This window comes from Homo sapiens, chromosome 1, assembly GCF_000001405.40.
Source record: "Homo sapiens chromosome 1, GRCh38.p14 Primary Assembly".
Classification (NCBI taxonomy): Eukaryota; Metazoa; Chordata; class Mammalia; order Primates; family Hominidae; genus Homo; species Homo sapiens.
In genome coordinates, this window is record NC_000001.11 from 110,313,930 (window position 1) to 110,326,894 (window position 12,965).

The 12,965-nt window shown below is 42.1% G+C and overlaps 1 long non-coding RNA gene across 1 annotated transcript in view; it reads right to left on the reverse strand.

Annotated features, from left to right (window-relative positions):
* The window catches only part of RBM15-AS1 (RBM15 antisense RNA 1), a 52,797-nt gene that overhangs the window by 27,555 nt on the left and 12,277 nt on the right, over positions 1-12,965 (reverse strand). The window contains exon 2 of the long non-coding RNA NR_036595.1: positions 4,836-4,953. This is a non-coding gene — a long non-coding RNA (RBM15 antisense RNA 1). The remainder of the gene's footprint in view (positions 1-4,835; positions 4,954-12,965) is intronic.

Here is a 12,965-nt window from a genome sequence, read left to right on the forward strand (position 1 = left end):
ACATTGTTCTAAGGGGCTTAATATTTATTAACTTCATGTCCAAAATGACTTTGTAAGGTATGTATGTACACTTATTATTATTCTAATTTTATTTTCCAGGGTTAGTACATTCAAAATCCAGGACACTAACCAGTGCAATTCAGCTCAAGAACTAACACTTAACCACATCACCATGGCTCTCCATGCTTGCCTAAGTTTATACATACATCCATCTTTGTTTCTCTCCTTGCCTCTCATTTATCGGACCAATGATACTGTGGAGAAAGTTAAAGAAGAGTTCCCCAGTGGTGGGAGTGGGGAGACTTTCCTTCCTTTCAAGGCAGTGAACCAGAGGCAGTGAATCCTAGCTCTGCCACTTTTCAGCAAGTGACCTTGGGCCAAGTTATTCAACCTCCCTCCTCTCCTCGGTTTCATCATCTGTAAAATGGAGGTGCCACCAGCACCGACTTCATTGGGTTTCCGTGAGTTATGAGTTAATGTTTTTGTAAAGTGGTTAGAGAAGTGAATTTCTATTACTAAATTTGGACCCTCGGCTGTTTGAGGTGACTGGGGCAAAGTCTAGAGGGTGGGTAAAAGCAGGCACCATCCTGTGGGAACACAGAAGGAAAGAGCCCTGGAGCCCAGACGGAGGATGGGCTGGGGGAGGTGGAGTGGAGAGAGAAACTGATGGAGAACTGGGATGACTTTTGGTGGGATCTGACCCTTTCATGGAGTCACAGTTTCTCTGAGTTAAAAGTATCTTTCTAGGGCATCTAATCCAGCCAAGCAGTGGAGCAGGCACAAGTCTCCAGTCTCAGCCAGAGGCCTTGGAAGATGAAGAATTCCATTTCCTAAGACTGGGGGCACACTGCATTAAAATAAATGACACTTGGTAGGCTGGAGTTGAGGGAGGTTCTCTCTGGCCTCTTGAAGAAACTAGACAGCAGGGATATAAGGTCCAGATGCCTTTACACCTGGCCTCAATTTGGTCTCATATTCTGTTTTCAGGAACAATACAAATCTGTAGCAGAACTACATGAGTTCCAAGCTGATAGCACACTGATAATAATAGCTAATACTTATGAGGGATTCCCATGCACTAGATGCAATTCTGAACGCTCACTTGTGTTAGCTCATTTAATTTTTACATCATTGCTTTAACGGTATTAGCCCCACTTTACCCAGGAGGAAATGGATGCACTGGGAAGTTCAAACACTTGATCATCATCATGCAGCAAGTTGTGATCAAAATCAGAGGATGAGAACCAGACCCTCTGACTCCAGGAGCAGTATTCTTAACTATTATAAAAAGCCAGCCATAGGCGGATCACTTGAGGTCAGGAGTTCAAGACCTCCCTGGCCAACATGGATGGTGAAACTCCGTCTCTACTAAAAATAAAAAAATTAGCCAGTCGTGGTGGCGGGCACCTGTAATCCCAGCTACTCAGGAGGCTGAGGCACGAGAATTGCTTGAACCCGGGGGGCAGAGGTTGCAGTGAGCTGAGATTGCACCACTGCACTCCAGCCTGGGTGACAGCGAGACTCCATCTCAAAAAAAAAAAAAAAAAAAAAAACCCAGCCATTATCCTCATTTCAGAAATTATTGAAATTGTGTATTAAAGAATATTCATTTTGAAAAAGTAACCAAATCTTTAAAGGCTTCAGAGAAGCAGATTTCTCTTGTAGCTTGTGGCAGCATTTTCTCAGAACTGGACGGGGCCACCAGTAGCGTCCTTCATTCCTATATCCGGGTGCTTGTTCCATGCAGTCATGGTATTAGGTTCTGGGGATGCTGCACACAGTGACACACACTCAGTCACTGCCCTGATGGGGTTTTTACAACCTGGTGAGGCAGAGAGATACTGGTCAAATAGTCACACCAACATATAATCCACAACTACAATAAATGCTATGAAGGAAAAGACTAGAATGCTCTAAGAGTGCATTATGGGTAGCAAGAACTGCCCTAGACTGGGGTGTGGGGTGGGGGAGGGATGTGTCAGGAAAAACTTTGCCTGTAGGTTTTTATATAAAAGAATGTCTTTGGGCTGGGTGCAGTGGCTCACGCCTATAATCCCAGCACTTTGGGAGGCTGAGGAGGGAGAATTGCTTGAGCCCAGGAGATTAAGACCAGCCTGGGCAACATAGTGAGACCTTGTCTCTACGAAAACAAAAAATTAATTAGCCAGATATGGTGGCACATGCCTATAGTCCCAGCTACTTGGGAGGCTGAGGTGGGAGGATCACTTGAGCCCAGGAGGTTGAGGCTGCAGTGAGCTATGATCAGCCACTGCACTCCAGCCTAGGTGACAGAGTGAGACCCTATCCCTTAAAAATATATATATTTTTCTAAGGTTATTTCTGAGTTAGTGTAAATAATGGACATGGACTCAAGTTTCAATTAGAGTTTCAATACTTAGACACAGGAAAGCTTCACCAAGAAACTTCTGAGACTGCATAGTCCTGGGGTAAAGAGGGTCAAAAATGCTTCTGGGGTGTCCATAGTGAGCTGGCATGAAGGAATCTTCATTGATCCCAGGAACTTACAGTGCTCTGGCTTTTGTTTCTAGAAATGACAATCCCTACACATTCACGGCATGCCCCACCCAGCCTTTAGTAGCAGAGTGATGTTAGGAGCCCTGGCTGGCTCTGGAGCCAGATGGACATGTGGTAAATTCCTTAATTTCTAGAGTCTTCAGTTTCTACTCTATAAAATGGGTTGATAATAATATCTACTTGCAGGGTTAATGTGAGACATAAATGAGATAAGACATAGGAGGTACCTGAGAATTATGTGGATCGCAGCAAGTGTTCAATCAATGTTAGCTAGTATAGCCTCCAACTCTAACTACAAACGGGCAGGATAGTGAGATGAACCTGTATTTATCTCAAGATAGAACATGGAATTTCATTTCTTTCTAAGCAAACCATTGCTTATTTCCACATCATTGTTTCCTTCTTTTCTTCCTTCCTTTCCTATTTACCTGCCAATTTACATTATCTAATTTTATAAACCTTCATGGGAAAAGGTCACGTGACAAAAAATTGCTTGGTATTTCCTATGTGAAAAGACAAAAGAGAATCAATATGGAAATTGAATTCTGTTCAACATTCCCAATGGTTATTTATAAAATTTACCCAGAGGGAGAGAAAGAATTCTAAATATAAAAATCACATAGAAATTTCCATTTAGGGAGCCCCAAAGTACTTTATTTTTAATGTATTATTATGATTGCAGAGGCTATTGTTAAATTTCAGATGCTGAGGTAACGCTGTGGGGGTGGCAAGAAAACCTGCAGGTGGATTTCACCCACAACATCTCTGGGGCCCGGGGAAGGGGCCCGGGGAAGGGGGTCTTCATGAGTGGCTTTCAGAGCTCAACCACACTCTAAGAAGCTACCTTGATGGTGGCTCCGGGCAGTGCACTTCAGAAATGTTTTTCTCTCTTTCCACATTGGAAATGAATCGATAAAGAAAAATATGACTCCACAGGGGATTCCTGCTTAGGTGTGTCCTGTGTGTGTGTGAAAGCTGCATCCAGATTCCTGACCCTCTGAGGGCAGGAAAGCAGCTCCTGCTCCCCCAGTCTCTAATAGAACACTCTATCACTTATCTCCCTCCCTCGACAATGGCTGGAATGCTGCCTCTCCAGGCAAAAGTAATTGCTAACCATAACTATACTTGACATTTGGACAACACTTTATAGCCACTAATTAGTTAAATGCACACAGCACCCTGTGAGAACCAGAAGGATCCCAGCTCTACTTCGTGGAGGGGAAAGGCCGGGTGGGGAGTAGGACCTCAGATGCAGCTTGAATCAGAGAGGCAATGTTTCCGGGACCTGCTGCCACTCCCTGCCCAGCACCACAAGCTCTGGGCAGCTATTAATAACAAGGATGTTAGTTTTCTTCTCCCTCAGAAAGACAATGAGGTGAAGGTCCCCTAAAGTATTTCTTCTGCTATGGTAATGGTAATACAAACAGTACGGTCAGCAATCTCTGCATCAGTCCGAAGCCCTGGTTAACTGACTACCAAGCACCTTTTGAGCTCTGACTATACATATATCTGTACTTCATCTGTGCTGAATATCGTGGGGAAAAGGCAGGCCTCCATTCCTTCCCTCAAGGAGCTCATAACCTAGCTGCACTGGAGTGGGGCAAAATAGCGGCCATGAAATAATCAGAGGGTAAGTCAACAGGAGAGAATGATGTGGAACGAAGTTTACTGAAGACTGAATGAAGGAAGGACTTGTTGCTCCAGCTCCTGGGAGTGCTGTAAGTGCACAACCAGCAGCTGTCAGCCACTCGGGGATTTCCTCAACTGCAGAGAGCTGCCTTGCCCAAGCTCATGCTCCTTTCCATGGTGGCCCATCCAATGACTGGACAATGCAGAAACATAAAAGCTCATCCGTCTTAGCCCATTGTGGGACAACTCTGAAGGAACATTCTAACTCCAGAGCTCCTCACTGAGTCAGCTGAGGCTGTGTTGGGCCTGTATTGCAGCTCCATTTTTTATCCTTCCCAATTCTAGTTCCTTCTCTTCCCTGCCACAGGTGTCCATCTCAAAGTAACCCCTTAAGAAAAACCCTGCATGCTAAGCTCTGCCTCAGAGTTCACTTCCCAGGGAACCCAATATTAGAAATTTAGATAAATGGACTTCAGTTAGGGGCCCACTCCAGAATTAGGAAAGTGGGATGTGGAACCAACATAAAGGAAGAAGGAAAAATAGGACTTTGTAGCAGATTATTTTCAGAGAGAGAAAAGTCAAAGATAAAAGGTTTTAGTCAGCCTGTGCAACATGGAGAAACCCTGTCTCTACAAAATATACAAAAATTAGATGGGCATGGTGGCGTGTACCTGTAATCCCAGCTACTTGAAGGGCTGAGGTGGGAGGATGGCTTGAGCCCAGGAGGCAGAGGTCACAGTGAGCCGAGATGGCACCACTGCACTCCAGCTTGCGTGACAGAGCAATTCCCTGTCTCAAAGAAAAAAGAAAAGAAAAATGTTTTAGTCTGTTTTTTTAAAAAGTTATCATATTACAATAATAATAATAATAATAATAATAATAATAATAATGGGATGGAGGTTTGTTGTGATAAATTCTCTTTTAGACTTGAGTTGACAACAAAACTTCCAAGTGGAGATATCTTGGGGGTAATTGTGTATATAAAATAAGTCAATTTGGGAGCTATGTTGATTGTTTTTTCCAAAGATGGCCACAACACGTGTTCCCATCCCACATGTTCTTCTATACTGTCAACTGGCCATTGCCCTCATCAAGAAGTGGAGTCTAATTCCTCCCACCCCACCTTGAATCTGGACCACTTGAGACTGCTTCAACTAATTGAGTACAGTAGAGGAGATGTTGTATGACTTCTGAAGCTAGATCAGAAAAGGCCATGAGACTTCTGCCTGGTTCTCTTGAAATGAAGCCATATGTCATGTAAGAAGTCTGACTACCCCCAGACTACCCTGCTGGAGAGGCTGTGTACAGCAGATGACAGCTGGCATCAACTGCCAACCATGCATCTTTATTTACCTTAGCACAGACAAGATAAATAAAGCCCCAACCAACATCCAACTACAACTATGAGGGAGACCTCAAGTGTGAACCACCCAGCAGAGCCCTTCCCAGATTTCTGACCCACAATTGTTTTAAGCTGCTAAGCACTGGAGTAACTTGTTATGTAGCAATAGTAAGGGGGAAAGGGTCATTAGCAGAGAAAAGAATAGAACCTCATCATTCTGTCTTGCACAATACCTTCCTGTCTTCCAGTCTTGCTCCACCCCACTCTGCCCTGCTTCACCTACCCTACCCTATCACTATCTACCTTCCACATAGCCACCAGGGATCCTTCTTAAGCAGTTCCCAGCTAATCTGATCAAATCACTTTTCTTGAAAACCTTCCATGGTCCCTAATGGCTTGTAAAGGTCCTCAGATTACAGTGTGCATTCAAAAGCATCTATATGATACACAGTATGTATCAGTAATCATCTGTGTGATGGTTAATTTTTGTGTCAACTTGATTGAGCCACAGGGCGTCCAGACATTTGGTCAAACATTATTCTGAGTATGTCTGTGAGGGTGTTTCTGGGTAAGACTAACATTTGCCGGGCACAGTGACTCACACCGGTAATCTCAGCACTTTGGGAGGCTGAGGCAGGCAGATCACTTGAGCCCAAGCATTTGAAACCAGCCTGGCCAACATGGGGAAACCCTATCACTACAAAAAATACAAAAATTAGCCGGGTGGGCATGCTGGCAGGCACCTGTAATCCCAGATACTCAAGAGGCTGAGGCACAAGAATCGCTTGGACCTGGGAGGTGGAGGTTGCAGTGAGCTGAGATCACACCACTGCACTCCAGCCTGGGTGACAGAGTGAGGCTCTGTCACAAAACAAACAAAAATACACCTAACATTTGACCTAGTAGACTGAGTAAAGCAGACTGCCCTCCCTAATGTGGGTAAACCTCATCTAATCAATTGAAGACCCAAATAGAACAAAAGGAGTAAAAGGAAACTCCTTCTGCCTGACCACTTGAACTGCACATGGGTCTTTTCCTGCCTTCAGATTCCCACTAAAAAATTGGTTGTTCTTGGGTCTCAAGCCTGCCAACTTTCAGAATGAAACTAACATTGAGGCCAGGTGCGGTGGCTCACACCTGTAATCCCAGCACTTTGGGAGGCTGAGGCGGGCGGATCACCTGAGGTCAGGAGTTCTAGACCAGACTGACCAACATGGAGAAACCCCGTCTCTACTAAAAATACAAAAAATTAGCTGGGTGTGGTGGCACATGCCTGTAATCCCAGCTACTTGGGAGGCTGAGGCAGGAGAATCACTTGAACCCAGGAGGCGGAGGATGTGGTGAGCTGTGATTACGCCATTGCACTCCAGCCTGGGCAGCAAGAGTGAAACTCCATCTCAAAAATAAATAAAAGAAATTAACATCATCAGCTCTCCTGAGTCTCAAGCTAGCTGATTGCAGATCTCGGGACCTCTGAGCCTCTATAATTGCATAAGCCAATTCCTTATAATAAATTATATATATATGTATACACACACAGAGTCATGAGCCACATAATGAAATTTTGGTCAATGACGAACACTGTCTTACAGGACAATGGTCCTATAAGATCATAATACTGTATTTTTGCTATACTTTTTCTAGGTTTAAATATGTTAGATACACAAATACTCCTGTGTTACAATTGCCTACAGTATTTAGTACGTTAACATGCTGTACAGGTGTGTAGCCCAGGAGCAATAGGCTATCCATATAGCCCAAGTGTATAGTGGACTATGCTCTCTGGGTTTCTTTAAATACACTCTATGATGTTTGCAGAACGATGAAATCACCTAATGATGCTTTTCTCAGAATGTATCCCTATTGTTATGTAACACATAGGATCCAGGAATTTGCTTTTTAAAACAACATCCCCAAAACAAAAACAATAAATAAATAAAAATAAAATAAAATGGAAAAAAAAAAACAAGATCCCCAGGTGATTTTGATTTTGATTCTGACACCAGTTGACAAACCTTAACCTACAAAATACAGTCCTTCAGAGCCCATTATTCTACACCCCCTTTTGTTAAACATAAAAATCTCACCACCATCCTCAAGAAGACAATGGTTTTGCTGCAGAACCTCTGGAACTTCTATATTTACCTATATTTATCCAGTTTTCCTAGTTTGAGCTTTAATTTCTGTAATTCATATTATGAAAACAATAATTTTATTCTCATTCTTGTTATATAAATGTATAAAATTGAATCTATAAATTAATATTTTATGTAATGTGGTTTTAAATATGCATGTTTGTAAAATTTATAAGTTAAATTGCAACAGTAGGAATACATTTTTCATATGCAATCCCCCTTCAGATACACATTGTTCCCTTCACCATCCCCTTCCATGCCTCCAGAGAACGTAATACTCTGCCTCACTGTGTTGAAAACCACTACTTTAGCTAGTGAGGGCTCCCTAGAGATCCCTGTTTGTGCTGTTATCTCCACCTGGAAGACTATTTGTTTCTTTGACAAATATTTGTTGAAAATTTAGCACGTGCCAGGCATGGTGCTATGCGATGTACCCCCTCCCCCCATAGAGAAGTAATCGATTCTTTCTCTGAGGGCCACAGGCCCTGAGTGTGCACTTCTATAACAGCCTCTCCACTCCATGATATAGTTAGCTGACTCCTTCACTACACTGTGCAGCCTCTAAGGTCAGGGACTACATCTTGTTCATCTTTGTATCCGTCACTGGCACAGTGCCCAACACCCAGTAGGAACTCAATTAATGTGGAGGAATGAGTTAATAAACCAATGATGATAGTCCAGTGTCTGGCACAGCATAGATGACCAATAAATATTGGTTGAAATGAAATTGAATTGAAAGTGCAGGTCACAGAAACAAGGGCAGAAAGAATTTAAAGAAAGAGGAGTTGTGACACTGTCAAAAAGATACCAAAAGATCAAAGAGGGTTAGCACTGGGGTGAAAAAGAAAGAGAAAACATTGGATTTGATGAAACTGAATTTAATATTAAGTCCTAGCATTAGCAGCGATGGACAAAACATTTATCACAAAACCAACAAGATCAGTATTTAATTGTCTTCAGCGTGTTCATGGTACTTCTTTAAATCCAGTTACTAGGTATGTAAGTTCCTGTGAATGGTGCAGGTTTATTATGCCTCACTCTTTACTACATAGCCAGTTAAAATGCTCACACATAAAGATCTACTCACACTTGAATTTTAGGTTTAACAATAAAATTGTATTTTCTATGAAAAGATGAGACCACCAGCTAAGGTGTGATCACCCCAGATACTTTCTCTCTCCATTCATTCACCAAACAAATGTTTACTGTGCTACATACTGTGCTGAGTAGAGTCCATTCTTCAGCTAACTGTGCAGGTTCTATTTGTAGAACTTGTTTGTGCTTGTGGCGCCATTTAAAACATTTTAAATCCTAGACTTGCCTGGATTCCCAAGGCAGCTTGACTCTTGGGAAATTTCTCTCTCTCTCTCTCTTTTTTTTTTTTTTAAACAGAGTCTCACTCTGTCACCCAGGCTGGAGTGCAGTGGCGTGATCTCGGCTCACTGCCACCTCCACCTCCACCTCCTGGATTCAAGCAATTCTTGTGCCTCAGCCTTCCAAGTAGCTGGGACTACAGGTGTGCACCACCACACCTGGCTAATTTTTGTATTTTTAGTAAAGATGGGATTTCACAGTGTTACCCAGGCTGGTCTCAAACTCCTGACCTCAAGTGATTCGTCTGCCTTGGCTTCCCAAAGTGCTGGGATTACAGGCATGAGCCACCGTGCCTGGCCAATTCTTGGGAAATTTCTCTTAGTACACATTTAGAACACTTCCTGCCATTTGCTGCTTCCAGAAACAGCACTAGCATTGGCATCCAAGTTGTCTCTCTTAAGTAGAAGTGCTGCCCCCAGTAGGTCCTGGTTTATATCCTGTGGTCAAATAAGTTGAGGGCTTCTTTACTGCAGGATTTGACAGTCTTTTATATGAAAATATGTGTGTGGGGGGTAGAGATGGAGGCTTAAATAATATGGTATAAAGTGTTTTCTAAAGTCATTTGACTTTTTACTCAACTTCATTTTATAGGATATTTGAAAATATTATCATAGATTACGTTCATTCATTCACTCAGCAACAATTTTTGTGTGCCAATTATGTGCCTGGCAGTGTGCTGAGACTGGATAAAATGGTGACTAACCAGACATACTGTCCTGACATTATGAAGACTTGGGGGGAGATACACATGAATCAAATGCACTAAACTGTAAATCAAATAATCATAAGAAATATGAAATTGTAATTTTGACAGGTGCAATAAAGAAAAGTCACATTACATGGCCAAATGAGAGCCTATAATAGGGAGCTTCAGTCTGGTCAGGGAAGGCTGCTCTGAGGAGGTGACCTGGGGCTGACATCTAAAGTATGAGTAGGAGTTCACATGGGGATGAGGGTGGAGAAGAGCATTTGCCCCAGGATGGGATAGAAAGAAAGCCAGTGAAAGAATGGAGAGCAAGATGAGGCTAGAATGATAGAAAAGGCCACACCATATAGGGCGCTATAGGCCATGTTGGGAATTTGTTTTTATCCAAGGAGTATGGAAGCCATTCAAATTGCTGAGTGGAGAACTCATCAGAGGTGAGCCAGAGTGAATCTAGGTGAGCTGTTTAAAAAGCTATTGAAGTGGTTCAGGATGGTGGTAACTTAGCCTAAGATGACGGTGGTGGAAGAGATGCTGAAAAAAATCAATTCATGTGTCTAGATCAATCCCTCTTCTACAAAGCAGTTGAACCCACACAGAGCTGGCTTTGTAATAACTCATAGATAACCATTCACTTCTCCAGAAATCTCCCCTCTGTACCTAAAGGATTGGGAATGGGGAAAGAAGTGGTCTGCTGTTACCTCAATTCATTCAAGCAAAGCATTGTGCAGAAACATGTCTTAAAATTAGAGATGTTCTCTGGAACATCTATTATTAGGATCTAAAAAGAGCCCCAGGACTCTCTTTCCAGCCTAACACCCACCTGTAACCATGCACTTTGGGGCCTACCATTTACTCTTCATGACTGCAAGTTTGATTTATGTACCTGGGAATTTCAAAGCTGGGAGGGATTATAGAAGTTATCATCACCCTCAACCATATGCAAAAATTCCTATATTTCTGAAAAACATCTCAAACAAGAGTCAACTCATTCTATACCCAATTATACTAATTATTAGCATCACAAATACAAGTCTTTCATCCTGTCCCCAAGCCTCTGGGGTCTTTAGAGTTTAAGCATCATCTCACAACTGCCCATAGCAATTCCTGACATTCTTACAGTTACCTACTCTCTTATTTACTCACAACAACTCCAGTTTACAGAGGGATTAGGTGCCATGCCCAAGGTTACACACTAAGGACACTTAGAGTCAGCACCCCTCATAAAACATTGCTTGGAATGTAATCAGAATTCTATACTGTGCATTCTGTACTGTCTGGAATGTTACAATGAACACATATAACTGGCCTGGTTTTCCCAGTCTGTGCTGGTCTACTTTCACTAAATTTTTATACTTGACAACTTTTTTTTTTTTGACAGATAAAATTCTATGTATTTATCGCATACAAGATATTTTGAAGGCTTAACTTATAAATATTTATATTTTAATTATTCATTGACTAATTTTTAAGTGTACCTGGTTTTTGTCCCCATATAAGCAAATTCTGGGTAGGAATCATATCATGATTTTCTCCCTGTATTTTAACTATTAGGCACATAAAACATGATTAATAATGATTAATTAGTTGATTTATTAAAGGAAATCACAATTTTATTTTTTTTTTGAAACAGAGTTTCGCTCTGTCACCCAGGCTGGAATGCAGTGACGTGATCTTGGCTCACTGCAACCTCTGCCTCCTGAGCTCAAGTGATTCTCCTGCCTCAGCTTCCCGAGTAGCTGGGACTACAGGTGCCCACCACCATGCGTGGCAAACTTTTGTGTTTTTTGTAGAGACGGGTTTTCGCTATATTGCCCAGGCTGGTCTCGAACTCTTGACCTCAAGCAATCCACCCGCCTCAGCCTCCCAAAGTGCTGGGATTTGAGGTGTCAGCCACCATGCCCTGCCTGGAACTTACAATTTAAAAATTTCATGGCAATACTGCTTTTACTCATGCTACATATATACAAACATTTGCAGAAATCCACTTTTTTGCTTTTTTCTTTTTTGAGACAGAGTCTCTATCTGTCGCCCAGGCTGGAGTGCAGTGGCTCGATCTCAGCTCACTGCAACCTCTGCCTCCTGGGTTGAAGCAATTCTCCTGCCTCACCCCGCTGAGTAGCTGGGATTACAGGCACACACCACCACACCTGGATAATTTTTGTATTTTTAGTAGAGACAGGTTTCCCCATGTTGGCCAGGATGGTCTTGAACTCTTAACCTCAAGGAATCCACCTACCTTGGCCTCCCAGAATGCGGGATTATAGGTGTGAGCCACCGTGCCCAGCCAAAACTCCACTTTTTTTCTACTAGATGATTTACAGCTGTTTCAAGAGGCTGGATTTCTCTAAACTTTGTCTCATCTCGCTAATAGTGGGCTCACAGAAATAGCTTGTGAGATCTCAGAAGTTGATTGCATTTGTGTGACAGACTTGATGTGCTAAAACACCCCAGAAAATATCTGAATCTACCACGTTTTGTCCAACTGAAACACAGTTGGCTGGGAGCAGTGGCTCATGCCTATAATCCCAGCACTTTGGGAGGCCAAGGCAGTCTTCTATGTAATTAATTTTAAAACCATAAAAAAGAAGAGGAAAAAGAAAAAAGAAACACAGTTGGTAACAGATGTACTCATATTCTATCAACTTTATAACCATACCAGTTTTTATAGGTGGGTGGAATTTCAGATGTGAGAGATAGGAAGACTACATAGAATATACTCTGAAGAGCTCTTTAAATTGATATCTCCACCAGACACTAGAAACAGCAAGAGAATTTTGCCTAATACCCAATAAACAGCTGAAAATCAAACTTTTATTGTCTCTGACTGTAGACGCTTTGTCCAATAATTGAGAGTCCCTGAATCTCCATCTCCTTTGCAAAACACCTAAATTTTGCCTCTAAACTGTCCACAATCAAGTGAAATACTCTCTTGTGGTTTCTATAAACTACTGAGGTTAAAGTACCATTCTTGAAGCAGGCAATTAATAACATAGTTATTGTATATTTCTACATTACATTTCTATAGAATTGTCTGCACCACTTGTTATCAACTTTCCCGTTAAAATATTGCACCTATTCACAACAAAGAACAGGAGAATGGATATTGGTTACACAACAAGCAGTGTCATCCACAATATGGAAGTATGACTTAAAATCAAATACTTTGCACAGACTGTGGTGGCAGCCAGGGGATCAATCAGGGTACACATATTATTCTTCTTAAATATTTGTAAAATATATTAGA